This window comes from Homo sapiens, chromosome 2, assembly GCF_000001405.40.
Source record: "Homo sapiens chromosome 2, GRCh38.p14 Primary Assembly".
NCBI classification, from domain to species: Eukaryota; Metazoa; Chordata; class Mammalia; order Primates; family Hominidae; genus Homo; species Homo sapiens.
Window position 1 is genome coordinate 25,018,792 of NC_000002.12, and position 27,564 is coordinate 25,046,355.

The following is a 27,564-nucleotide window of genomic DNA, read 5'->3' on the forward strand; positions in this document are numbered from 1 at the left end:
ATTTGCCCCTTGAAACTGTAAGCAGTGCATAAATTTGAATTTAAAACACCAGATCATGTTACCTCCCTGCTTAAAACCTTATAAGCAATCCTCGACTTAACGATGGTTGGACTTAGGACTTTTCAACTTTACGATGGTGCAAAAGCGATACACATTCCATTGTATTACACATTCCATTCCTCTACACATTCAGTAGAAACCATTCTTTGAATTTTGATCTTTTCCTCTGCTGGCAAAATGTGGTATGATGAGATTCTGGGAAGAACGGCGAGCAATTCTGGTTTTCACTTTCAGTGCAGTATTTGATAAATTACATGAGATATTCAACACTTTATTATAAAATAGGCTTTGTGTTAAGTGGTTTTGCCTAACTGTAGGCTACTGTAAGTGTTTCGAGGTTGGGAGTACTAAATGCATTTTCAACTTAATGATATTCACAACTTACAATGAATTTGTCAGAATGCAACCCTTTCATAAGTCAAGGAGCATCTGTAATGGCCTCTGTAAAATAGCTTTCGAGGCCTCTTCTGGGTAAGTCCTACCTACTGCCAGGGCCTCACCTTTCCCTGGTCCATATTGCACACTTCGTGTCAAGATACGCTTCGTCCCTACAGCCAGCCATATCCTCTCATCTCACATATCTAGAATTTTGAACATACGCCTTTGGACTCTCCCCCTCCTCTCCATTCCCTTCTCTGGGCAAACTTTGATTCAACTTCAAGTTTCCATTTGGCCTTCATTTTTTAAGGAAATGCACCTCCACCCCCTAAACTCCCACCCTGCTAGACTGGGGAAGATTTCCCTCCCATCTGATTCCGTAATTCCCCTTCTTTCCTTATTTACTTCCCATACTTGCTGCTATTGCTTCCTTAATTATTTTCAACCCTCCACTGGAGAACTCTGCCAGGGCAAAGAAAACAGTCTTTTTCATCATTATATTATCAGGGACTACCACTGTACCAAGGACATTGTAAAACTCAATATAGAGTTGTTGAATGAATGAATCCCACTGTCTAGACCCTGGGGCAATTTTTATCAAAATCTCTGTTATAAAAATGTTTTCTCAGCTGACTTTTTTTTTTTTTTTGAGACTGAGTCTCACTCTGTCACCCAGGCTGGAGTGCAGTGGCACGATCTTGGCTCACTGCAACCTCTGCCTCCCGGGTTCAAGCAATTCTCTTGCCTTACCCTCTTGAGTAGCTGGGATTACAGATGTGTGCCACCACGCCCAGCTAATTTTTGTATTTTTGGTAGAGAGGGCCTTTCACCATGTTGACCAGGCTGGTCTTGAACACTTGACCTCAGGTGATTCGCCTGCCTCAGACTTCCAAAGTGCTGGGATTACAGGCGTGAGCCACCACGCCTGGACTGACTTTCAATTAGAAGAGTATTTAGGCATCTAGATATGAATGAACTATATAAAGCCAAATGCATAATTGGCCTGTTTGTATGATCCAGCTAGCCAGTGAGATATTTCTCTGTAGAGGATCCTTTCAGAGTCCCTCAAATCACACTTAGGTGGTGAAGTCACCTGTTTGGCTTTGTATTACTCAGATAAGCAATGTCGCGTAGTGGTTGACCACATAGTCGGTAGGACTGGACTCCAGGGTTCAAATCTCAGCTTTCCTACTTAGACCTTAGCAAGTGATTTAGCTTCCCACGACTCAAGTTCCCTATCTGTAAAATTGGTATAAGATAATGCTTGCTTCATATATATATATATATATATATATTTTTTTTTTTTTTTTTTGAGACAGAGTGTTGATCTGTCACACTGGCTGGAGTGCAGTGGCGCGATCTCAGCTCACTGCAATCTCTGCCTCCTGGATTCAAGAGATTCTCCTGCCTCAGCCTCCTGAGTAGCTGGGATTACAGGCATGCACCACCACACCCAGCTAATTTTTGTATTTTCAGTAGAGACAGGGTTTTTCCATGTTGGCCAGGCTGGTCTTGAATTCCTGACCCTGGTTGATCCACCCACCTTGGCCCCCCAGAGTGCTGGGATTACAGGTGTGAGCCACTGTGCCTGGCCCTTCATAGGTGTTTTTAGAGTGTTTTCAGCATGGTGCCTGGCACATAGTAAGCACTCAGTATATTATCATTATAGCTTCCAGATACCTTTCTCTATATGCACTCCAGTTTGTTAATTTTTTTTTAAGTGTAACTGGTCAAAATTAAACCCAAAACTATTTTGTCTGACTGGGACAAAAGGTACAGGGTCCTAGCACTGCCCTAGATCTAGAAATTTTACTTCTTTTAATGCAGGCTAAATTTATACTGGCTTTTTTTTCATAAGCAGCCTTATCATACTGTGGAGTCATATCAACCTTGCATTTAATAAACCCCTCAGACCTTTTAGTGTGAATCTCTGTCCAAATAGCACTTATCCTTCCTGTATCAGGGTAATCAATTTTTAAAAATATTTTAATTTTGCTTTTTAAGATGGAGTCTCCCTTTGTGGCCCAGGCTAGAGTGCAGTGGTGTGATCTCGGCTCACTGGAACCTCCACCTCCCGGGTTCAAGTGATTCTCCTGCCTCAGCCTCCCAAGTAGCTAGGATTACAGACACCCACCACCAAGCCCGGCTAATTTTTGTATTTTTAGTAGAGACGGGGCTTTACGATGTTGGCCAGGCTGGTCTTGAACTCCTCACCTCAAATGATCTGCCTGCTTTGGCCTCCCAAAATGCTGGGATTACAGGTGTGAACCACCGCACCCGGCCTAACTCATCCATAAAGTTGCTGAACGGAAGGAGGCCAAGGGCAAAATCATGGTAACTCTAGCAAAGCCTCTTCAAGTCAACAGCAGTCAACAGTCCAGCAACGTTCTTCACATGCAATCTTTCAGCCTGTAATTCCTCATCTCTGTCAATAAGGATGTCATGATAAAGGTCCCAAATTACCATTTCTTAGAGATGTCTGCAAAATATGGGCTCTAAGGGTGTTTGTTTATAATAGCAAAAAACAGAAAACAACCTAAATGTCCAACAAGAAGAGATTGATTGCATCCATGTTTGTACATATTTTTAGTGGACAGCTTTTGCATTACAAAAAAATTAAAATTCTGCACATTCATGTGGCCTAAACTTATTTTTAACCATAGATAGTGTGGCTATTTGGGATTTCACTCCCTAGTTTTCCTTCCCTCTTCTGGTAATATCACTCTGACTTTCTTTGGGTGGAGGGAATTTCCCTTTCCCACTGGGTTACTTTTAGTGAAACTGTCTAATAAAGCAACTCTTGCTTCCCTAACCAGAGGGAGGATAGCTGCCCCAAGCTAGGACATTGAACTGTCTCTTCAAGGACTTTAAGGACTAAGAAAAATTGGAACTGATGTGTCACAGCATTGTGCCGTGATCCAACTGGCTATTAATTCCTGCTGCCAGAAGCCCAGAGCTGCCCCGGTTCCTGCTCTTTCTAATTCTGATTTTCTATCTTTTCCTTTGATGTGGTGAACTCCCCATAACTCCCAATGAATGGCATTTTGCTTAAATTGTCCAGTGTTAGTTTCTGTTGCTTATGATAAAAAACTTTAATTGGTTCAGTCAAGTCCCTTAAAATATTTTAGAACTGTTTTTAAAATCCCAATATATAAAACAGACTGCAGGCTGAGTGCAATGGCTCACATCTATAATCTCAGCATTTTGGGGGACTGAGGCAGGTGGATTGCTTGAGACTGAGGTAGGTGGATTGCCTGGGCAACACAGTGAGACCTCATATCTACAAAAAAAAAAAATACAAACAAAAATTAGCTAGGTGTGGGGGCACATGCCTGTAGTCCCAGCTACTCGGGAGGATGAGGTGTAAGGATCACTTGAGCCCGGGAGGCAGAGGTTGCACTGAGCCAAGATCATGCCATTGCACTCCAGCCTGGGTGACAGAGTGAGACCCTGACTCGAAAAATAATCATACAGGCCAGGCGCAGTGGCTCATGCCTGTAATCCCAGCCCTTTGGGAGGTCGAGGTGGGCAGATCACGAGGTCAGGAGTTCGAGACCAGCTTGGCCAACATGCTGAAACCCTGTCACTACTAAAAAGACAAAAATTAGCCGGGCATGGTGGCATGCGCCTGTAGTCCCAGCTACTCGGGAGGCTGAGGCAGGAGAATTACTTGAACCCAGGAGGCAGACGTTGCAGTGAGCCGAGATCATGCCACTCTAGCCTGGGTGACAGAGTAAAACTCCGTCTTCAGAAAACAAACAAAACAAAACAAAACAAAAACATACAAACAAAAACCCAAACAGAAAAACAAGAAAAAACCAGAGTGCTCTTGCACGTGGGTGGTCTGTCCATTTGGCTCTTACCTGTGCAATAAACTCCCAGAGCTCTACAAATGCAGTGTAAAGTAGACGTCATCTTTTGAGAATGGAGTGTCTCCTCTTCCCTCTCTGGTGATGTTAAATGTATTGACTTGTTATTTCCTATAAATCTTAATGTTTGTTGTTATTTCCTACAAATATTAATGTTTGTCCTGTCTTTCATGTTAGAAGCTTTTCCCAAATGTCTGATGATTTTTGGCTGTCAGTTTCTATTTAAAAGCAACCCAGTAAAATGATTACCAGAAATGTACATGAGCAGGGCTTGTACCCAATTCTCCTGTTTTCAACTCCACTCCTTGCTTCTGAGGTCCTCGGTGCTTCAGATTCCTGAGACTTCCTGGCGTTCTGTTGCCCAAATTGTCTTCCTTCGTTGGCATCTCCTTTTGGAGTCACTTGCTTCCAGCTTTCTCTGTTCTGCCAAGTCAGTTACCACTCATCCATTTATTTTCCACCTTCCAAAAATGCGTTGTCATTGCTGGTCCTGTCGTTTCCTCTCCTAATCTCTTTATCTGCGGATTTTTATCTTTCTTATTCCTTTCATATAATTTTAGTGTTTTTTAGTGAGAAGTTTGGGTTCATTATTTCAGTAGAAATCTCTACCTTTTCTGGAGTTACCACGTTTTATTTTTATACTAAATATAAATATGAGTATTTTTAACTTTATAAAGACACAGTCCTATAACATTTGTTTGTTGTCTACCAGTAGTCTACAAATCTATTAGTCAAATCAAAAAGGAAATAAAGACGGTTACAATGATTTGTCCTTAATAAATTCATTGTGGCTCCAAGTATTCACTTAATTATTTTCTGGGTGTTCACAACAAGCAACACTGTTTAACCAGGTGATCCTATTAATTGTCAATATTCAACACCAAGCTGGTGATTAGCAGAACCCACTATTTTCCTACCCAATTGCAATTCCTTTCTAATTTCTCATGAAATTTTAAAGCGTATTGATAGTTACTTTGCAATCCCTTTTCCAAGTCCCCTTAGCATCTTATAAATAAATGTGTCTAGACATGAGGTATTTATTAAAATAATTACTTTAAATAAATTACTTCACCTACTGTAGGCTTTCATCCTCTTTTTGCAACGTTTGTCCTAAATCTTTTTAGTTTGAAGACTGTACTAATTTTTTCTGGGAGAAGTGGGACTGCCTAGCATCTAAACGCCCTTCTTATCTGGGGGAATCCAAACATATGTGGAGAAAGGGCTCCACTGTGAAAACCAAAGAGGTAGAAATTCTCTCTCTTGTCCTCTAGCAAGAGAGCATGTGATCTAGGCTCAGTGAATCAGGATTTTGAATGATGGGGGAATGATGTAAAGACACAGAAGGTGGGAGTTTTTTCACTGCAGTGGTAGAGGAGTGGAGAGTAGAGAAGTGTGGGAGTGGGCATCCTTTACCAGTGATACCTAGAGTGGAAGCACCAAGTAGCCACTGGTGGCAGTTCCAGCCATGGTGGCCCTATTCTGGTGGCAGGACCTTGATAGAATTTGGCTGCCCAACCTCTCTTTGTCCCTGGATGGGGTTTTTTGTTTTGTTTTGTTTTTTCGAGAAGGAGTTTCACTCTGTTGCCCAGGCTGGAGTGCAATGGCGCGATCTCGGCTCACTGCAACCTCCACCCTCTGGGTTCAAGTGATTCTCCTGCCTCAGCCTCCCAAGTAGCTGGGATTATAGCCCCCTGCCACCACACCCAACTAATTTTTGTATTTTTAGTAGAGACTGGTTTCACCACGTTGGTCAGGCTGGTCTTGAACTCTTGATCTCAGGTGATCTGCCCGCCTTGGCCTCCCAAAGTGCTGGGATTACAGGCGTGAGCCACCGCGGCCCGGCCTCTGGCTGGGTTTTCATCTTGGTGTTGTGGACTTCCCCTTGATTCTGTGAACTGTCTTACACCATTCCAGCAAATTTCTTTTCTGCGGAAGTTAGCAAGAGTCAGTTTCTGATATCTGGACAAAGAACCTTGACTGGTACAGAGAAATTGGTACAAGGAGATGGTTGCAGATGACAGAACCCTGGAGAAATTGATGAGGGAAGGAATCTGAGCTGTCTACCTAGTTACTTAGGACTGAGAGCAGTAAAAATTCTGTTAGTATGTAGGGATAATATGTGCTTGATATTGTATAGTGGCAGAAAAAAATTAAAAGATAAATATTTTCCAGATCACTACTTATTAAAGCAATTATTTGCCCCTGCAAACTATAGGAAAGTCAAAAGAAATTCAAGAACTTGAGAGTGGTGTTCATTTCTTTTCTTGGCTCTAGTCTGCTTCAACAAAAATAGATGACAAGCTCAGCTCCTTAAATTCTCAGATCATAACACAGATTGACACACACACACTTTCTAAGTCCATACTAAAATGGATCTCATTTCTCACAGCCATAGGACAGAGGTAACTGAAAGCCAAACTCCAGGAATTACCAAAATTACAAAGTCAGCTGAATTTTTAGCCTCACTAGGACCCGTATGTGAAAGAGCATTGATCAGGACCGCGTTTCCGCTCAAGAACTGGAATGAGAAAACATGATAATGTCTGAAAAACTCAGGGAACTCTGTACCCCCAAGCCACACTAAGCCTTCATCACCAGCCAAAACAGAGCCTGCGCCTATATGTAATGAGGCTATTGTTGCTGTACATGAAGATGCACCTAAGAGAGTTATCTTGCAAAAGAAAGCCAATTATTTTCCTGTTCTACTCCCCTGACTCCTCATTATCTCCAAACATATAACTAGAATTAGGTACCAGCATGTCCAGGAGGGCCAATTATAAAATACAACCAGAGAGTTAATGATTAGCACACACTGGACAAGACACACACACACACACACACACACGCACACACACACCCCCAAGATTTGCTAATTTACAGTAATGTGGAGGAACAGACATAGGAATGGATTTTCTGAGGAGGAAAAAACGAAATTTTAGATTCCGGCTGAATTTATCAATGCAGGTATGCTTTCTAGAAATTCAGATTTAGCAAATTGACTCAAGTAGCTGGAAATGTTTCTAAATATTTTCTTGGTTGGTTGCCTGCCTGAAACCTAGTCACTATGAAGGACAATGCCAAATGAAGCGGAGGTGCACAGTGGTGTCGCGAGGAAGGAATTCAGAAACGCTGGAAGACAGAAATACTGGAGGGCATTCACATGTCCTCTTTTTATGTCCCCAAGGTGGCCCAGAAAGCCAGTAAAGAAAATACCCGCATCTTTGAGAATGTTTAGTGACTGTCTAAGTAGGCCAGGAATGCCTATGGGAGAAGCTGCAGCTGCCATGGCTTCCCTTATTTTAACGGCAATGGACAGATCCCCAGTCAGCAGAGGCCAAATGGTGGCACTTAACTGCCAGTGGTGTGGGGACGTGACTTTCATCTTAGGCATCAAGGCCAGCATGATGACCAGAAGCTTCAGGCCTTCAAGCTCTTTGTTTTTGGTTTTTCGTGTATTTTTTTTATTTTTTATTTTTGGTTGGTTGGTTGGTTGGTTTGTTGGTTGGTTGGTTGGTTGGTTTTTGAGACAGAATCTTGCTCTGTCACCCAGGCTGTAGTACAGTGGCACAGTCATGGCTCACTGCAGCTTCCACCTCCCAGGCTCAAGCAATCCTCTTACCTCAGCCTCCAGAGAGTAGCTGGGACTACAGGCTCAAGCCACCATGCCTGGCTAATTTTCATACTTTTTGGTGGAGATGGGGCTTTGGCCTGTTGCCCAGGCTGTCTCAAGCTCCTGGGCTCAAGGAATCTGCCCACCTCAGTCTCCCAAAGTGCTGGGATTACAGGTGTGAACCAGCATGCCCATCCCCTTCAAGGCTTTTTTAACATAGGTCATCAGTACCAAAACAAGTGATTAGCCACTAGACATCCTCAGAATCACAGAAATGGCCTCCTGACCTGTGGAATAAGGCCTATAGGTAAACAGGGTCATCTGGAAGTACCTGCACTTCCCCCTGCCTATCCAAAATCAGTCAAAACAACACTACATCCCCAGGGAAATCATCACCAGGATCTCATTAGGCGCAAGGTGCAGAGTTATATTATATTTCCATTAACTATTTAGTTTGGCTAGTACAGAAACTGGCTGGATCTTGAAAAACCACATGGGTCCTCAGTGCTCTTGTATCTGCTGTTCCAGATGGGGTCTCCTAATGTAGCCGGTGGTACCTGAAAGACTGCAATGATCCTTAATGCCTTTGTTCTCTATCCCAGGAGTTAGAAAACACCAGGAAAAGGGTTGTTCCCACCTGGAAGAGAAATGCTAGAGCAACACACCATCTTCCTCAACATTATCATCTGTCTCTGGATGACAATGAAATTCACAGGACACTGATTGTCTTTTTATCCCATTGGACATCGTGATAGTCTACAATACTGATAACACCATGATGATAGGATCTGAAGACCTGGAAGTACCAGGTACCCAAAGTACCTTGATAAAACACATACCAGAGTAAGGGAAGGAGGATGGGAAGGAGAGAGATTCTAAGAAGATGCAGGAGTTGGCCAGGCGCTGTGGCTCACGCCTATAAGCCCAGCACTTTGGGAGGCTGAGGCGGGTGGATCATCTGAGGTCAGGAGTTTGAGACCAGCCTGGCCAACATGGTGAAACCCCGTCTCTACCAAAAATACAAAAATTAGCTGGGTGTGGTGGCAGGTGCCTGTAATCCCAGCTACTCAGGAAGGTGAGGCAGGAGAATCACTTGAACCTGGGAGGCGGAGGTTGCAGTGAGCTGAGATCACGCCATTGCACTCCAGCCTGGGCAACAAAGCAAGACTGTCTCAAAAAAAAAGACAACGCAGGAGTCTGTCACCTCAGTGACGTTTCTAGAGGTTGGTGGGGGATCTAACTCCCATCAGAATAGCCCATACAAAATGAAGACTAGGTTTAGCACCTTTTACTCTCATCACTAAGAAAGAGGCATAAGTGGCCAGGTGCAGTGGCTCACGCCCGTAATCCTAGCACTTTGGGAGGCTGAGGTGAGTGGATTACCTGGGGTCAGGTGTTCGAGACCAGCCTGGCCAACATGGTAAAACCCTGTCTCTACTAGAATACAAAAAAAATTCAGCCGGGCATGGTGGCACGTGCCTGTAATCCCAGCTACTCGGGAGGCTGAGTCAGGGAGAATTGCTTGAACCTGGAAGGCAGAGGTTGCAGCCAAGATCACGCCACTGCACTCCAGCCTGGGCAACAGAGCAAAACTCTGTCTCCAAAAAAAAAAAAAAAAGAGGCACCAGCTTTGCTGCTTTGCTGGCCTTTTTAGACTTTTTTTTTTTCTTTCCCGAGACAAGGTCTCCCTCTGTCACCCAGTCTGGAGTGCAGTGGTGTGATCTCGGCTCACTGCAGCCTTAACCTCCCAGGCTCAGGCAATTCTCCCACCTCACCTCCCAAGTAGCTGGAACAGGCACACATGCCACCATGCCTGGCTAATTTTTGTATTTTTTTGTAGAGGCAGGGTTTCACCATGTTGCCCAGGCTGGTCTCGAACTGGACGCAAGCAATCCTCCTGCCTTGACCTGCCAAAGAGCTGGGATTACTGGCGTGAGTCATGGAGTCCCGCCTTATTTATTTATTTATTTATTTATTTATTTATTTATTTATTTATTTATTTTTGAACTCTCTTGCCCAGACTGGGATGCAGTGGCACAATCTCAGCTCACTGCAACCCCCGCCTCCCAGGCTCAAGCAATTCTTCTGCCTCAGCCTCCCAAGTAGCTGGGATTACAGGTGCATACCACTACCACTCAGCTAATTTTTGTATTTTTAGTAGAGATGGGGTTTCACTATGTTGACCAGGCTGGTCTCAAACTCCTGACCTGAAATGATCCACCGTTTGGCCTCCTAAACTGTTGGGATTACAGGTGTGAGCCACCGCGCCTGGCCCGGCCCTTTTTAGACTGTCTAGCTAACACATACCACAGTTTGGTGTGCGTCTCCAATCCATTTACCAAGTGACTTGAAAGGCTTCCCAGTTTTCAGCAGGGGCCAGAGAAAGAAAATATTCTCCAAGTTGCAGCATGTGTGATTCGGCCACTTGACCTTAACAACCCAGTGGATCCAAATGGTGCTTGAGTTATCAATGGCAAATTGGGTTGCAGCATGTAGCTTGTGGCAAGCCTGATCAAGAGAATCACTGTGGAGACCTTTATTGTTTTGCGTCAATCCGTGACCTCTTCAGTAAGCAGCTGTTACCTTTGTAAGAGATACTCTTGGCCTGCTACTGAGCCTTGAAAAAGACAGAATGTTGCCCATGGAACATCGGTCACAGTGAGATCTTGAGTCATCCATTGTGAATTTGGTAATATTTGAGCCACAGTGCCATAAAGTTGGGTGTGGTTAGCATCTTACTAGAAAGCAGTGAGAACAGGTTCAAGTAGGTCCTGGAGGCACAATAAAAGAGAATTTGTTCACATGTCTAGTACGTCAACTCCTGCCACATTGCTGCCCCTTCCTCAGCCCACATCTTGTGGTCTCATGTGGAGCAGCCTACCAGCCGCATCTATTAACAACCCCACTCGGATTTTTTCTAAAGGACATGAGAGAAAGGACATCCTCTCAGTAGGCAGAACATGTAGCATACCTCACTGTCCATTTTGTCTTGAAGAATTGATAACTTGAGGTAAGAGTTTACAATGAGTGTCTGGTAGTGTCTGGTGTTTTGGTTGTATAACAAGGGACTTGGAACAAGACTGCAGAATAGTTTTGGGAAAGAAGTACTTTTAATGACCTGTTGGTCAGAAATGATGTTGTCATTTTGGAGCAAGTCGTTTGGGGAAGAAGAAAGTGAAATGGGCCAGGCACAGTGGCTCACGCCTGTAATCCCAGCACTTTGGGAGGCTGAGGTGGGCAGATGACCTGAGGTCAGGAGATAGAGAACAGCCTGGCCAACATGGTGAAACCGCATCGCTACTAAAAATGCAAAAATTAGCCGAATGTGATGGCTCTCATCTATAATCCCAGCTACTTGGGAGGCTGGGGCAGGAGAATCACTTGACCTGAGCTGCGGAGGTTGCAGTGAGCCAAGATCATGCCACTGCACTCCAGCCTGGGCAACAGAGTGACTCTGCTTCCAAAAACAAAAAACAAAAAAAGAAAAGAAAAGAAAAAGTGAAATGACCCATAGAATGAACCCAGTTAATCAGATGAACAGATGATTACCTACTCTGCCAGTCAACTTCCTTCCCAAACTACCTTAATGTTTGTCCAATGGGATTAAGCAAAATAGAAGCTCTGCGTTAACACAACTACAGGGAAATTCCTGCTACTGAGTCCATTTTACCTGTGTTTCCTTCCTTAGTATGCTAAATACTTTTATGTATCTACTTTAAAAAGAAAAGAATTGTAGGCTGGGCGTGGTGGCTTACGCCTGTAATCCTAGCACTTTGGGAGGCCAAGGCGGTTGGATCACCTGAGGTCAGGAGTTTAAGACCAGCCTGACCAACATGGTGAAACCCTGTCTGTACTAAAAACAAAAATTAGCTGAGTGTGGTGGCGCACGCATGTAATCCCAGCTGCTAGAGAGGCTGAGGCAGGAGAATTGCTTGAATCTGGGAGATGGAGGTTGCAGTGAGCCGAGATCATGCCATTGCATTCCAGCTTGGGCAACAGAGCAAGACTCCATCTCCAAAAAAAAAAAAAAAAAAAAAAAAGACTGCATTCCTTTGTTTCTTCTACTTTTTGAAGAGTTTAAATCATAAGGCAAGTAAGGAATCCCTCGTGTGATTTGCTTTGAGTTGACTCACACTCATATCTCATCAAGATCCCTTTTTGCAATTATTGCTTCTCTACAGAGAGAGAAACAGGAAGTAGAGGAAACAGAGTTGAATATTTGAAAGGCAGGACATCCTCAGGGGGTAGGCCTCAGTAAAGTCAGCAATGGACAGATGTGACTACACTCTTGGGGATATATCATACTAAGCAGATTCACAAGAAATGGATGTTTCCAGAGTGCGCATGTACAGTTAGAAATGTAAGCACATAGAGGACTTAAATGTTCAAATTGGCTGATTTGCCAGCCACATAGATAAGCTAAAATATAACCAGAAGATCGTGGCGAACCAGGGAAAAGAACAAAGGGAATCAGCAGGTTTATCTAAAGTCATTAAGCTTGATCATCGGATTCATCCATCTTCCCTATGGGAACATACCTGCCAATGGGCCTGAAATATCTGGGTTTGCTGGTCAGGGATGCCTGTCCCCCAGAGAGTCGTTTGCTTCAGGTCCACTGCCAAAGTCAGGCTCCCTGAGCACTCCTTTCCCAGGCTTCAGTCTGACCATCTGCATTATTTTCATACACATCTTCTTTTAGGGTGAGTACGGGTCCAGCACAGTGGCTCAAACCTATAATCCTTGCACTTTGGGAGGCCAAGGCAGGAGGATCACTTAAGCCCAGGAGTTCAAGACCAGCCTGGGCAACATAGTGAGACCCCATGTCTACAAAGTAAAAAATAAGATTAGCTGGGAGTGGTGGCGTGTGTCTGTAGTCCCAGCTACTCGGGAGGCTGAGGCATAAGAATCGCTTGAATCTGGGAGGTAGAGGTTGCAGTGAGACAAGATTGTGCCACTGGACTCCAGCCTAGGTTACAGAGCAAGACCCTGTCTCAAAAAAACACAACAAAACAAAAAAGAGTGAGTACAACATAGTAGATAAGGGCAGAGCCCGAGAATGTTAATACCGTCCTCTGAAAGTGTGACAACACCCACACACTCTGTCCCTTGTATTCCCCAATGCCTGGGACTCCCATTGTGAATAGTTACCTCCACCATTGGCTTCTCTCACTGACAGTTACTGTGTCAATTGAAGTTGTGAATTACTTTGCCCTTACACACACCCAGCATTATATTCAGTTGTGCTGCTAGTTCTCATCTCTTTATTACAAAACCAGCTCCTTTTCTAGAGTCTCATGTTGCACGCATTTCTGTTTCCCCTTAGCGGTGTCCCCTTACCACCACCACTAAAGGAAACTCCCCTTCTTTATCCTGTGACAGCCTCCTCGTTGCTCTATGACCTGGGTCTCTTACGCTGCCTGCTCTCAACTCCTTGCAGCCATGTCCACCAGTTCCCTCTACCTGTGGAACCCAGGCTTCTTCCATGGGTCTGGAGTGGAGCTCAAGAATCTGCCTTGCAGCAAGCTCCCCAGGGGCTGCTTGGTGCAAGCTGAAGGGAAGCCCTCTGTGAATCACCTCCTTCAGTTCCCCAGCGAGCTTCCTAGAAGAGTGACATTGGCCAGACTCATCTGCTACTTCATCTGTTGCCACATCACAAACCTGCAGCTTAGCTACTTGCAATCTGGTGAGAAACAGAAGAAAGAGAACAGAGCTTAGAAATAGGCAGACCTAGGCTGGAATCCTGCTTGTATCATTTATTCTTTTTGTTGTTGTTGTTGCTGTTGTTGTTGAGATGAAGTCTCGCTCTGTTGCCCAGGCTGGAGTGCAATGGCACGATCTCAGCTCACTGCAACTTCCGCCTCCCGGGTTCAAGTGATTCCCCTGGCTCAGCCTCCCAAGTAGCTGGGATTACAGGCGCCCACCACCATGCCCAACTAATTTTTGTATTTTTAGTAGAGACGGGTTTTCACCAGGTTGGCCAGGCTGGTCTTGAACTCCTGACCTCAGGTGATCCACTCGCCTTGGCCTCCCAAAGTGCTGGGATTACAGGTGTGAACCACCATGCCCGGCCGCTTCTACCATTCATTGTGTGACTCTGGGAATGGCTCTTTTAAAAATGCGTTTCCTAATTCCAATCTAGTTCACAGGGTTGTTGTGAGGCTCAGAGGGAGAAAGATGCTTCCTTCAATAAGTATGTGTTGAGCCCCTCCTACGTGCCAGGCATGGGGTACTGGGCTAGGTGCAGTGCCTAACACCTAGCAGGAGCTTGGCAACTACTCATTCCTTGCTTCTTCCCTCTCCCTCTCATCGCCCTGAAACCTGAAGGTCACCATTTGAGTTCTCCCTTCTCTTGGCTGGCCTTGTATCTTGTCCAGCTGCCTCCTGCCACTCTTAGATTCCTGAGAGGTGACATGGCACATTGCTGACGAAGTCCTTGTCTTGATTCCTGATCAAGGCATCTCTGTCTCCAGTCTCTGGGTGGGAAACCCAGTATGCCAAGCTAGGCAATGTGGAAACCAGTATGGACCCATTTCCCCCTTGCCAATGCAGCTGAGAGCCAGAGTCAGCCGTAAGGAGCCAGCTTATTGTCTCCTGTCCCCTTGGCCCAACGGAGCCCTTTAAAGCCAAAGAAGCCTCCCAGGTAGGAGGCTTGCACGGCCCATGTCTTGACATCCTAAGGGCCACTTCCTAAGGGAAGGAGAAAGAGAACGCATGGGGATGCAGATGAATTTTATAAGCCCTTCCCATTCTTTCCTGGGAAACAGGAAGAGACTTGGTTCAACCTTGGTATAACCCTGCTGTGCATCTTCAATGCCCCCAATGCCAGGAACCGCCTTTCCGAAAGAGGTGGTCATGAGTCAGGGAGGAAATATGTTCGATCACCAGTGACCTCCTAGCTCCACATCCATCAGCCCTTTCTGCTCCTTCCTCCACCTATTAGCAGCATCTCACACTGTTGATACCCCGTAGCTTCCAGCAGAATCTTCCTCACTGAATAGAGGCCAAAGTCCTTAGGTACTCAAGGCCTTCTGTGACTGGACCAAAGCCCGCATTTCTTACTGCATCTCTCCCTGTATCCCTTCAGTTAGCATATGTTCCTATCAAATGTGCCATTTGCTTTTCTTTATACATAGCCGTGACTTTCCAACACCTGCTTTTGCTCAAGTTAGGTTCTTTCTCCATGTCTATCTCCTTCCCTAACTCCCTCCCAGTCCACCCAGGTGGAGCCTCTCTCCTAGGCTTCTGCCAGGACTCCATTTTTCTCTCTCTCTGAGACATCTCTCTGTCCTGACTTGCCTTCTCAACTGAACTGTGAGTTTTCTGGATGGCAGGGACTTTTTATTCTTTCCCCACCGTGTCTTGTATGTAGTAGTAGGCTTGTAGTAGGCTCTCAATAAACACATGTGCCATAATTGAGAACATGAGCGAGTCCTAACCTACCAGACATCAGATATAGACTCAAACTTCAACTCAACTTTGTCTGCCATGTGCATGTTGGCGTGTAGACGTCTGAGCTTCTCCATCATGTTCACTGAGAATTGCTGAACATCCTCTTCCTTGGGCCATCGTCATGAGACTGAAGTCAGCTGTCATCCTTGAGCCAGAAAAGTGAGGGTTGGGCTAGAGATTTGGAAGCTGAGGATTGGGGCTGAGTATCATAGAGGAGTCCTGTGGCCAAGAAGAGTCCAGAAAATGGAAAGTGGGCATGGCCAGGGATCCTTAACTGCAGAGCTGCCAAACCCTGAGGGGGCTCGGGTGAATGTAAAAAGCAGCATGCTTTATTGGGAAAGAGGGGTGATTTCAGGGTCCAAAGCCCATATGAGGCAGTGGCTCTACAAGGCCTGGAGGGCAGGGTTTGGCTTAGGTGGGCGAGAGTAACTTCCCTGGAGAGGTTGCATCTGGCCCTATCGCAGAGCTGGGGCTCTTCCTACACCAGTACCAATTTTCAGGTCTTAGGGGTTCAGCATCTCACATGTTCTTTTTGTATTCTTCTGTTAGCCAGGTTTACAATTTCCTGGAGGCATTTTTCTTTTTATATATTTAGTTTTTTGACACAGGGTTTTACTCTGTTGCCCAGGCTGAAGTACAGTGGCACAACCATGACTCACTGCAGCCTCAACCTCCCAGGCTCAAGTGATTCCCCTAACCTCAGCCTCCCCAATAGCTGGGACTACAGGCACATGCCACCATGCTTGGTTAATCTTTTTTATTTTTAATTTCTTTTTTTTTTTTTTTTTCCAGAGACAGGGTCTCACCGTATTGCCAGGGCTGGTCACGAACTGCTGGGCTCACACAATCCTCCTGTCTTGGTCTCCCAAAGAGCTGGGATTACAGGCATGAGCCACCACGCCTGGCCCTGGAGGCATTTTTCTCCCTCTCCTTTCATTTTGTTTAAACCATTCTTTGATCGGGTTGGCCAGTTTCTGGGCAAGCCTGTTCCTTGGCTGTGGTGAGATGCAGGTTTCCTCAGCTATGGCCAGGAAAGCCATATCTGACTTTTTAAGATCACCTATGTGACCAGCTATTCATTTCCTATCTCTTCTTTTCTCTTCCATGTCATGCAGATCAGCAGGAAGAAGAGATGGAAGCAACGCCATGGACCTTCACGTCCTTCAGAGTGTGGGTGGGCTTGGGCTTTGCAGTGAGAGCAAGTATCACCCAGGATGGAGATGGGAGGTAATGGGTGGCCCCGACAGGTGCCTCCTACTGCTGGCAGCAAGGAGAGAGTGAAGAGGCAGAATTTCCTTGGTCTAGACTAGAGTCTGGGTCATGGGCATGGCAGTGCTTGAGCTTTTGACCAGAAGCAAGTGGACATGGATTTGAGCTTCGGGTAAGAAGGGAGACTTCTCTCCAGGGACCATAGGGGCTGGCAGCTGAAGAAGGTGACTTGGCCCCTCTCTAGAGGGTGAACGCAGGATCAATTCAAGGCCATGAAGTGGATGCAGCTGGGAGAGCCTGCTTGGTGCTTTTAAACCTCAACATGTCAACCGCAAATACCTCAAACACTGCTCACACCGTGGTAAAATCTAGTTGCGAAACCTGTCCCGCGGCAGCCTTCTCCATCCCAGGTGCCCAGGCCCCATCTCCTGGGAGCAGGCAGCTCTCCCCACCCCGATTCATGTCCCTCCTACAGCCCAAGGCAACTCCCTGCCACCTTGGTGAATGAAGCACATCATGCTGCCCAGGCTTCTGAGCTGTTTGCCGTGTTGCGGAGATGCAGCCTTCAGCCTTGGATACCCACCCACTCCTCTACTTGGGCATTGTTTTCACAGGCTGCTCTTCCCTGTAGCTTCAGAGAAGTAGGTCAAGTAGGTTAACTCGCTTTAAGGGAGAAGTGCCAGGGGTTCAAGTCACCCAGCCTGGAGGCAGGAATCCTGGGTTCTATTTTTGGCTTCACAGCTAATCCGCTGTGTGACAGTCGTTAGGAGCTCATTCTCCCCTCTGGGTCTCCCTGAGCCCTTCTCTAGGTCCCACAATTTTTTTTTTTTTCCCTGAAGCTATATTCCCTGGACTGTCATATTCTTCCCTCTTCCCTCCCTCTGGGAGGTGCTTTAAAGCCGTTGGCTGCTCAAGGCTGGCGCCCTAGGCAAGAGGGGCTGCAGTTGTTGTAGCTGATGAGGAGGAGATAAGAGGCTTTTCTGTAGACACAGTTGAGCTGATGGGCTGTGTGAGGCTGGAGTGCCAGGAAACCAGACTCCTGTAACTACAGGACAGGCCCTGGTGATGTGATGATGGGGATGTGACGGGGATGCTGAAGCCTGGAATGCGAGTGGGGGTTCCTGCGTTTTATGCAATGGCTGTAGATTTCCTCCCACTTCTAAGCCTCCCTTTCTGTGACACGCAGGGAAATTCAGTCTCTAGTTCATATGGAAACTTGGGACCTCACTGTGCTGCTTGCTCTTGGCAGAGGATATCATTTGAGCTGTCATAGCAGAGGACCACATTTACCAGGGTGCACTTTGGCCAAAGAATAGTAACCTTTCTAAGGCTTAGTTCCTCTGGCCTGACCAAACCAGTCCCAGGAGGCCCCTGGGTTCCAGTCAAGGTCATGGGAGAGGCCCACCATGGATGAGGCCTGGGGGAGCAGGGTGGAAATTAAGTGCCCAGGTATGTTATGGATAGCCTGCAGCCCTCTCCAATCCCTACCCTCCAAACCCAGTGAAGGGGGACATGAAACAGGTGAGGCAGAGGAGCAAATGCGGGTCAAGAATTCCGAACTATACTTGACTTACAGTGCAGCTGTGATGTGCACATTGGTGTGTGCCACGAGACAGCATAGTGTGGTGGAAAGAAAATGGGTTTTGAACAGAGTGTCCTGGGTTTGAATCTCTGCTTGCCCATGTACTAGAGAGTAGTCGAACCTCTCTGGGCCTCAATTTCCCAGATGTAAAATGGGAATAGTAGTACTTACCTTGCACGGGTGCTGAGAGAATTCCATGAGACGACACAACCCGTGTAAAGTGCCTGGCATAGGCATATCACATTAGGGCACTCAGTAAATGTGATGTCTTTTCTACTTGCCTTCCTGTCATACCGGTCCCCATGTTTTGGATTTCTGCAGCTAAAGTTAAGAAGCTTTTTAAGATAGGAATCCCAATTCTCACTTTGCCTCCTTTTCATAGCTCACCTAAATGGCTGACTTCTGTTCAGCACCTCTTCATGGGTGCACTATTCTGGAGAGGGAGATCCTAGAGTTCCCACCTTCTGTTTGTTTGTTTTTGTTTGTTTGTTTGTTTTTTTGTTTGGTTTGTTTTTGTTTTTGAGACAGAGTCTCGCTCTGTCACCCAGGCTGGATTGCAGTGGCGCAATCTCGGCTCACTGCAACCTCCGCCTCCCAGTTTCAAGCAATTCTCCTGCCTCAGCCTTCCAAGTAGCTGAGACTACAGGTGCCTGCCACCACGCCCAGCTAATTTTTGTATTTTTAGTAGAGATGGGGTTTCACCATATTCACCAGGCTGGTCTTGAACTCCTGACCTTGTGATCTACCCACCTCGGCCTCCCAAAGTGCTGGGATTACAGGTGTGAGCCACCATACCTGGCCAGCCCTTCTGTTCTAGACTGTGAGCCCGAAGACTGCATTCTCTCCCAGGCTCAGTTTCCTTATATACATAATGCCACCGTGGTCAACCTCTACAGCATCATTTCCTGCACATATTTTGTCTAAACACCTTGACTGCACCTCAGAGAAGCTGGGTATGGGCCGGATTCCTTTGCCATTTAATGCATACAGCCCGCAGAACAATGTTGTCTGCTGAGCCCCTGGGGGACAGCAGAGAATTGGAGCCTCTTTTCATGGTTCTCACAGGCCATGTGACACACAGATGGGAGAAGCTGGCATCTGCAGGGCCAAAGGCCTCTGGCCAAGGCACCCATACCAAAGGGGACAGACTGGCCAAAGCAGCCTTATCCCTATCTCCTTAGGAACCACATTCTAGTGGGATCTGTTTGGTGATACAGGTTGGGAGCATGGGTGGGGAAGCCTACCCCAGGCCTGATTCAGTCATGAGGATCCAGGAGCACCCTCCAATGGCTGTTGCTAACTACAGTTGCCAGATAAAACTTAGGTGGAATCTGAGTTTCAGAAAACAAACAAAAAATGTTTTTAGTATGTCTCACCTACTGCCTGGGGCGTACATTACAAATCAGTCCTTATATATTTGAAACTCAAATTACATTGGGCATCTTGTATTTTTATTTTTTTGAGACAGAGTCTCACACTGTTGCCCAGGCTGGAGTGCAGTGGCGCGATCTCGGCTCACTGCAACCTCTGTCTCCTGGGTTCAAGTGATTCTCCTGCCTCAGCCTCCTGGGTAGCTGGGATTACAGGCGCCTGCCACCATGCCCGGCTAATTTTTGTATTTTTAGTAGAGATAGGGTTTTGCCATGTTGGCTAAGCTCGTCTGCTAACCCTAGAGCTGACAGGAAGGCTTTTGGGTTGGGCGGTTTTACGGGGAAAATACTCTGTAACAGCGTTTTTCCTTTACTCTCACATCACAACAATCAACGCAGAAGAGTTATGACCAAATGTCGGGGTGGGGGGGGGGCGTTTCCCCACACACCAAGCAGCTGGGTGTCCTCTAATGCAGTCTGACACTGAAAAGTAGTGTCAGATCCCACATTGGAGGGCTCAGTCCCCAAGACTGTTCCCCCAACACCAGTTGTAAGTCCAGACCTCCAGAACTTCTGACCAACTGGCTTCAAGTTGGGGTTCCCGTGACTCCCTCTTCGGGTTCAATTAATTTGCTGAAGTTGTTCAGAGGGACTGAAATTTACAAAGGTCAGAGATGGTAGAGGAAAGAGTATGGTAAGTGTGGTGTGCAAGCCCATCTAGTGGGAGCACAGTTGAGGAGGGAACAGGAGGTGGAAGCCAGGTGGGAAAGGAAGTCTGGGGCCCTGTTGGAAGGACCTTGAATGCTGTGTTGTTATGATAGACAGTTTTCCTCCATGATTCCTGGCTCATAACTCCCATAGCCCTTGTTACAGTCTTTTGTTGTAATATTGAGTGTGTTAGGCCACAGGAAACAGACTCTCTCCTTCTCCTGCCCTCCTTTCACCTGCCCCCAGGCAGGACTCTAATCTTTCCTGGACTTTCCAATGGTTGTTCTTAAGACCATTCCCAGAGAGGTTCCCACCCTATACCCCGGGGGAAGGAATGCTGACGTTATAAAGCTTTCATAAAAACCCAAGCGGACAGGGTTCAGGGAGCTTTGGGATAACTGAACACATCGAGGTTCCTGGAGGGTGGTGCCTGGGGGAGGGCTTGGAAGCCCTGTGCCCCTCCTCCCACACCTGAATTGTTTTTTCTTTTTCCCTTCATGAAACTCTTCCCTGCTCCTTGTATGTGCCTCCATAGTCATTATAAGATTTTATGATAATTTTTACATGTCTCCCCGCTCCTAAGTACCTTCCACAGTGTCTAGCATGTCATAGGGAGTGATTGGTAAATAGCTGATAGAAAGAACAAATTAAACTATCAGCCTTGTGAATTTTCTAAATAGAGGTCTGTACTTCTCATGCAGAATTGACTATGTTTTTTTCCTGCCCAGTAATTTTTTTTTTTTTTTTTTTTTTTTTTTTGAGACAGTGTCTCACTCTGTCGCCCAGGCTGGAGTGCAGAGGCACAATCTCAGCTCACTGAAATCTCCGCCTCCCAGGCTCAAGCGATTCTCCTGCCTCAGCCTCCCGAGTAGCTGGGACTACAGGCATGCACCACCATGCCCGGCTAATTTTTGTATTTTTAGTAGAGATGTGGTTTCACCATGTTGGCCAGGCTGGTCTTGAACTCCTGATCACAGGTGATCCACCTGCCTTGGCCTCCCAAAGTGCTGGGATTACAGGTGTGAGCCACCACGTCTGGCCTCAAGTAATGTTTTTATCAGTATTCATCTGGAATTCCCTGCTAGACCTTTCATTCTTTGAAGACAGACACTGCATTTCCTTCTGTACTGTAGACACCAATGTTTCATGAGTATATTTTGTGTTGAGCAGAATTGTGGGAAGGGAGTGTCTCTGGGTGATCATATCAAGCTAGAGCTGAGATTCTCCTTCCTGCTCCAGTTCAAGTCTGACTCTCAGTCAATCTTAAAGCCACCTGGCCTGGTCCTGGAACTGAAGAACAGAGACAGAGGTTATTTGTGAGATGCAGGGAGTGTGTGCCCGGGGTAGGGGGGTCTAGACTAAATGTGTGTTCCAGGAACCATCCCAGGGTTTCCCTTGGGGCTGGCATGCTGCTAAGAGAGTCAAAGAGGTCAAGGAAGAAGAAGAAAACCTGGAAACAGCAAGAGAGTGGGGCGCGGGCGGGAGGTGGAGGCCCAGGCCAGAGAAAAATAGGAAACATAAGTTTTGAGTGCAACAGACTGAGCACTGTTTCAAGAGTCTGGCAACCTGGATTCTTTCTCTGGCTCTGTTCCTGCCTTGAGCCATGAAGGAAGGAAAAAATATACATGAGTGCCCACTGTGTCATTTCATGTAGATTTTATTCCAGTTTCCCAACAGTCCTGCAGGAAGCTGGGGTTGAGAGAGTAGATCATTGGCCTACAGACACACAGCCCAGCCTAACAACATAAATTAACCTCTCAACGTTAAATGAAGTAAAATGAAGTTCAGTTCTTAAGTATCTTTAAGTTCCTTTCCTCTCTAACTTCTACTAGTAGAATATTTCTACCAGTAGAAAAAAACAAAAGAAAACCCAAACAACTCTCAACCATGGGCCAAGAGAAACTAAGAAATCGATATTGAAAGGCCAGGAGGGGCAGGAGAAGTGGCTCAGGCCTGTAATCTCAGCACTTTGGGAGGCCGAGGCGGGCGGATCACTTGAGGTCAGGAGTTCCAGACCAGCCTGGCCAACATGGTGAAATCCCTTCTCTACCAAAAAATACAAAAATTAGCCGGGCGTGGTGGCACGCACCTGTAGTCCCAGCTACTCTGGAGGCTGAGGTGGAAGAATCGCTTGAACCCAGGAGGCGGAGTTTGCAGGGAGCCGAGATAGTGCCACTGTACTCCACCCTGGGCGAGAGTGAGACTCCATGTCAAAAAAAAAAAAAAAAAAAAAAAAAAAAAAAAAAAAGACGGGAACGTGTGCAATGTAAAGAAGGCTGGATGAGAAGCCCAGGGAAGTCCTGAGCTAGCTTAGGAGAGATCTTCAGGTGTGGGCGTAGGCATGAGCCGCTGCCTCTCTGTGCCTGTTCCTCATAGGGTCACGGCAGGTGCAGAGCTGGAATTCAAGTCGGCGCTGGGGCTCAGCTGGAGAGGATCCTGGCGGCAAAGCTTGCGAATTACACATATAAATCAGGGAGAGGAAAAGCAAGCGGACTTCCTGCAGCCCTTGGGGGTTGGGAGTGGGGTGCGTTTCCTGCGTCCCTGACCCGGGAAGGACGCTGTTTGGTGGTAGCAAGCACCTAGCCAGAGAGTGGCTGGGCACCTAGCCAGAGAGTAGCTGGTAGGGCGCAGCTGAGGGCTGGAGGGCTTCATCAGAGAACGGCGCTCAGCTAAGGTACCTAGCCAGGAGAGGGTGGAAGTCATTCCCCAATTCCCATCCTTGCGCCCCCCGGCTTAGCCCACGCAGCCTGGACAGAACTGGAGGAGGGGTGCACCTGCAGCTCTCAGCGCCCCGGCTGACCTCGAGGACCCCAGGTTAGGGAGAGCTTCCGAGCGCTCCGACAGGAGCAGGGAGTTGGGGTGGGTAGCTCCGCAGGTGCACGCTGCGGCCCTTAGGGCGACAGCCTCGGAAAAGGCGCATCTCCGGCTGTGGGTTTCTCGGGGGCGGGGCGCAGGGGCGGGGCGGGGCGAGGGGCTCGCAGAGGCCTCGGGTTGGCCGAGCCGGGAGGGAGGAGCATTAGTATTAGCATAGCCCCCGCCCCCTGCGCGCAGCAGTGCCCAGCAACCCGAGCGGAGGCGGCCGCTGCAGCCCGGCGCTGAATGGGCTGGCGGCGCCCGGCTCCGTCCTGCCCGCGGCCGGCCCCCGCGTCTGCTCCCTCCCCGCCCGGGCCCCTGTCGGCCGCCGCCAGTCCCCGCCCCGACTGTGAATGAAAGGCGGGCGCCGCCGAGGGCTGGCTGGGAACGCCGCAGCGACGCCGGCCTCTCGAGAGGCGCGCGCCCCGCCGAGATGTACGGTAAGGAGGGCTCCGCGCCCGGGCCCGGGCCCGCGGGGGCGACTCCGCAAACTTCCCCGGCGCGGACCATTGTCCCCCTGCACGGCCCTGGCGCGGGGCCAGGCCGCTGACCTGGTGCCCGGCGGGGCTGTTGCGGTCGCTCTGTGCGCGCGCGTCTGCGCTGCGAGGACAAAGATGCCTCGGGCCGGGGACCCTGGGGTCCTCTCCAGGCCCGGCGCGTGCCGGTGCTGGGCGGTGGTCCTTCGGGGGGCGGAGGCTCAGGGGAAAGCGGGTCTCCCGGAGCCGAGCAGACCGGGAGTGCTGGAGGAGGTGGTCGTGTGGCAGCATTTGCGGAATTAACAAAAGCGGTTTGTGCCTGGGAGTTTTCTGTGGGAAGCCGGTCCAGGGCTGAGGGAGACGCCCGCGGCCGGTCGTCTGCGCGGCTCGGAGAAGGCGGGAGGCGGCGCCGGCGGCGCAGAGGCCCGGGGAGCAGCCAGTGGCCGAGTCTCGTCTCGCCCGCCTGAATGGACTCGGCCTCTGCCTGCCCCTGCCGCCCCGCGGGATCCAGGTTCACCAACTTCCAGATTTTCCCTCCGCAGTGATGAAGGGAGGAGACGCTGCTGAGAGGGTGCAGCACAGCCCTGACCTCTCCCCGCCTCCACCGCCATCCCCTCAACTGCCGTGCAACAGTTAGCCAGACCCTCACGATGCACGGCTCTGCTTGATCATTTGCTAGGACTCCCTCTGGTTTTGCAGGCAGTGTGGGTGAAGAAGAGAGAGCGCGTTGGGTCCCACATTGCAGCTCTGATGAATGGAGCACTGGAGACCTAGACCAGTCTAGGAATGGACTGCATTCCTGAGCCTGCAGCCCACCAAGGGCTGTGCGTGTGTGTGTGATCCCGGTAGACATAAGTCCATGAAAACCCAGGTCTCTGGCAGCTCTTCTAGTGCCAGCAAAATAATTGGAGCTGTGCTCACCTCCCACCCCCACTGCAAGGTAGGGGCTCAGGCTGCACTTGAGGGGTCAGTGTTTGGAGAAGAGTGCGTTCCCAATTTAACCCATCACTGAGGCTGCTCGGCTGCTCAGCTGCCTCGCTCCGCGAACAGACTGTGAGTCACAAAGTTTGTTAGAGGCAGAGGAAGCTGAGAGCCTGGTGGAAAGGCTCAGCAATTGGTGGGCCCCCCTACTGAGAGAGAGAGAGAGACTGACTCAACTTTTTCATCGGTCTCCTTCCCTGCCCAGTTGCTCAGAAATACGTTTGCATTTCTGATCCAGGGTGAGACATCAGCAGGTCCCCTCAGCAAGTACCATTTCTCTTGGACCAAGTGGGAGGAGGGGGAGGTTGGCCTGAGAGGCTGTGCTGCTGACCACTGGGGACTCTGGGGAAAGGTAAAAAGGCGGTTATGCTTTATAAGCCAGAGGTTGTGATATGTATGTATATATATAGGAGTATGTGTGTATTTTTTTACTCTCTCTGTTTTCCCCCTCTTCTTTTCTGCAGAGGTAGCAGCCTGAAGCTGCAGATCATTTGACAAAAGCATGTGACTGCAGGGGCACCTGCAGTGGGGAAGGAGTTAGGACAGGCTCATCAGAATGGGTCAGAATTAGGAACTGGGTTCTGCTGGGCTGCCTCATTGCATTTAGTCCAAGATAATTTGGTCGTTTACCCGAGATATCTGAAGGTGGGGGTCCCAGGCTGCCTCTGTTGTATGAAGCAAGACAAGGAAGAGCTGGATAGTCAGAAAGGTGAACTGGGGAATCAAAGCATCTGGGTGCTATTTTCAGACACATCTCAGGTTTTCATTTCTCTTTTATAATATATTTTTATTTCCCCAGATGCAAACAGATATGGTATTTACCCTGAATGATTCATAGAAAGATTGTAATGGAGGAATCCTCTGGGCAGTTGCCTGCAGCAAAGGAAAGTCACACCAAGCTTGGGTGGGAAATTACTACTGAGTTGCTGGGTGCAGAGTCTGATCTTAGGAGGTGTGGGAGGGAGCCCACTCCCCCTGGTGAGGACTCAACTGCTTGGATTTTCGTATATTCCTGACTTTCATGAAAAGAAAGGGTTCATGTGATATTTAAAATCATTTTCTCACCAGAAGTCAATAGAGTGATGAAAAAAAGTGAGTAAGGAGGTTTGGGGGCGGGGATCACAGAATTATAGACTTCTTATAATTGCAATTTTCCTCTTGTTTTACAAGTTATTTTTCCAGGGTGACAGAGTTAGATGGAACAGGGCACAATGAAAATGGGGGCCTCCTGGCACTGCGCTTCTCCCCCTCCCACCTCCTGACCTCCCCTGTGTGTCCTATAAAGTCTCATTAGAAAAATACCACCAGGGGTTTTATTAACGTGATGGGCAGAGAGGCCCCCCTATGGAGCCGAAAGTCACCTAAGAGCTTTAGGTAAAGGTGTACCTTGTCCACCCACCTTGGTGACTTGTGCCACTATAAATTTGTCTTCCCATCTGTCCAGCTCTGGAGGATCTCCGTTTCCCATCCCTCCCCCTCCTCACCCTGCCTCTGCCCTCCACAGCTCAGCCTTCTTCCTTCTGCTTATGGGAGGCTGGGAACCCCATGTCTTTGCTGGACACAGTGCTATCTAGGATAGAAGGAATCCTTGTTCTGAGGTCATCCCATCTGAATCCAGGAGCCCTTTCATGGCTGGGTGACCTCAGGCAAGTGGAATTGTCACTCAGAATTAAATCCCTGTATACAAAAGTGAAACGCATGTCTGTCTACCTTCCAGGTCTGTTGTGAGCATCACAAGAGGTTCCGAGCTCCTGAAACTGGTTGCTCAAGAGCCTGTCCTCTTTGGGCCCCCTTGGACCTGTTCCCTCCTTTCCTCTCTGCCAACTCGGGCACAGCCTGTTTGTATCACCTGCCACCCCCGCTTACACAGGCACATCACCTCGACTGTGCCAGTGCCAAGCCGCTGAGCCACTTCCCTTTCTCAGACTCACCCCAGCTGTCTCCTCACCACTCAGTCATTCCTAAACCCATCAGTTTCTGGAAATGGCTCTCTAAAAGGACACAGTGACTGCCCACAGTTTTGTGTGGGAATCCTATGAAGGCAGACTGACAAGGGACATGAAAAAATGAAAGCATTTTTACTGGGGTGGGAAGATCATTAGCAAATTCTATGCAAAAATGGATTCCCATGAGCTTTTCTTTTTGTTAGCATTATACAGCTAAGGCTGGGCGTGGTGGCTCACGCCTGTTATCCCAGCACTTTAGGAGGCTGAGGCGGGCAGATCACCTGAGGTCAGGAGGTCAAGACCAGCCTGGCCAACATGGCGAAACCCCGTCTCTACCAAAAGTACAGAAATTAGCCGGGCGTGGTGGCAGGTACCTGTAATCCCGGTTACTCGGGAGACTGAGGCAGGAGAATCACTTGAACCTGGGAGGCGGAGGTTGCAGTGAGCTGAGATTGGCGCCACTGCACTCCAGCCTGGGAGACAAGAGCGAGACTCCATCTCAAAAAAAAAAAAAATTATATAGCTAAGAGTTTCCCTGTTGCTCTCATCTGGGCTGGAGCATCCCGTTTCCCCGCTGAGGTGAAACAGAGCTCTGAGAAATGCCACCCTCTGAATTAGGGCAGCCAGCTAGGAGGGACGTTTGGAAAGGATTTCCCCAACCACAGTCTGTGCACCCCGATCCCACTAACACCAAAGCTGCCCTAATTCTTCCTCACCTCTGAGTGCTGCCTCATCCTCAGCAAATGCCTCTCGTCCCGCTTAGTGGTTGAGAATGCTGACTGTAAATAGCGACAGTGAACAACTTTTTGAAAATGTGCTTGGGCTGGGCACAGTGGCTCACGCCTGTAATCCCAGCACTTTGGGAGGCCAGGGTGGGTGGATCACCTGAGGTCAGGAATTTGAGACCAGCCTGGCCAACATGGTGAAACCCCGTCTCTACTAAAAACACAAAATTAGCCAGGCATGGTGGCGTGCACCTGTAATCCCAGCTAATGGGGAGGCTGAGGCAGGAGAATTGCTTGAACCTGGGAGGCGGAGGTTGCAGTGATCAGAGATAGCATCACTGCACTCCA

General features: G+C 48.1%; 1 protein-coding gene and 1 long non-coding RNA gene across 3 annotated transcripts in view, besides 8 other annotated features; both read left to right on the top strand.

Moving 5' to 3' along the window:
• DNAJC27-AS1 (DNAJC27 antisense RNA 1) overlaps positions 1-20,903 on the top strand; it is a 67,583-nt gene extending 46,680 nt beyond the window's left edge. Inside the window, exon 3 of the long non-coding RNA NR_034113.1 lies at positions 16,482-20,903. This is a non-coding gene — a long non-coding RNA (DNAJC27 antisense RNA 1). The remainder of the gene's footprint in view (positions 1-16,481) is intronic.
• Positions 12,705-13,204: an enhancer, noted in NCBI's record as "H3K27ac hESC enhancer chr2:25254365-25254864 (GRCh37/hg19 assembly coordinates)". NCBI's record gives its function as "activates a minimal SCP1, AML or CMV promoter by ChIP-STARR-seq in naive H9 embryonic stem cells {active_cell/tissue: H9 hESC(naive)}" and the evidence as "EXISTENCE:reporter gene assay evidence [ECO:0000049][PMID:30033119]".
• Positions 22,293-23,242: an enhancer, noted in NCBI's record as "H3K27ac-H3K4me1 hESC enhancer chr2:25263953-25264902 (GRCh37/hg19 assembly coordinates)". NCBI's record gives its function as "activates a minimal SCP1, AML or CMV promoter by ChIP-STARR-seq in naive H9 embryonic stem cells {active_cell/tissue: H9 hESC(naive)}" and the evidence as "EXISTENCE:reporter gene assay evidence [ECO:0000049][PMID:30033119]".
• Positions 22,293-24,218: a biological region, named in NCBI's record as "H3K27ac-H3K4me1 hESC enhancers GRCh37_chr2:25263953-25264902 and GRCh37_chr2:25264903-25265851".
• Positions 23,149-23,768: a silencer, noted in NCBI's record as "silent region_11240". NCBI's record gives its function as "represses an Ori minimal core promoter by ATAC-STARR-seq in GM12878 lymphoblastoid cells {active_cell/tissue: GM12878}" and the evidence as "EXISTENCE:reporter gene assay evidence [ECO:0000049][PMID:35858748]".
• Positions 23,243-24,191: an enhancer, noted in NCBI's record as "H3K27ac-H3K4me1 hESC enhancer chr2:25264903-25265851 (GRCh37/hg19 assembly coordinates)". NCBI's record gives its function as "activates a minimal SCP1, AML or CMV promoter by ChIP-STARR-seq in naive H9 embryonic stem cells {active_cell/tissue: H9 hESC(naive)}" and the evidence as "EXISTENCE:reporter gene assay evidence [ECO:0000049][PMID:30033119]".
• Positions 23,285-27,564, top strand: part of EFR3B (EFR3 homolog B) — a 117,060-nt gene continuing 112,780 nt past the window's right edge. Inside the window, exon 1 of one of the 2 annotated variants that reach the window (NM_014971.2) lies at positions 23,285-23,528. In NM_014971.2, the coding sequence (NP_055786.1) occupies positions 23,522-23,528 (7 nt within the window). In that variant the 5' untranslated portion in view covers positions 23,285-23,521. Of the gene's footprint in view, positions 23,529-23,671; positions 23,876-27,564 lie in introns of those variants that run through there. The other variant, NM_001319099.2, reaches the window with a different exon arrangement.
• Positions 23,899-23,978: a silencer, noted in NCBI's record as "silent region_11241". NCBI's record gives its function as "represses an Ori minimal core promoter by ATAC-STARR-seq in GM12878 lymphoblastoid cells {active_cell/tissue: GM12878}" and the evidence as "EXISTENCE:reporter gene assay evidence [ECO:0000049][PMID:35858748]".
• Positions 24,089-24,218: a silencer, noted in NCBI's record as "silent region_11242". NCBI's record gives its function as "represses an Ori minimal core promoter by ATAC-STARR-seq in GM12878 lymphoblastoid cells {active_cell/tissue: GM12878}" and the evidence as "EXISTENCE:reporter gene assay evidence [ECO:0000049][PMID:35858748]".
• Positions 24,549-24,678: a silencer, noted in NCBI's record as "silent region_11243". NCBI's record gives its function as "represses an Ori minimal core promoter by ATAC-STARR-seq in GM12878 lymphoblastoid cells {active_cell/tissue: GM12878}" and the evidence as "EXISTENCE:reporter gene assay evidence [ECO:0000049][PMID:35858748]".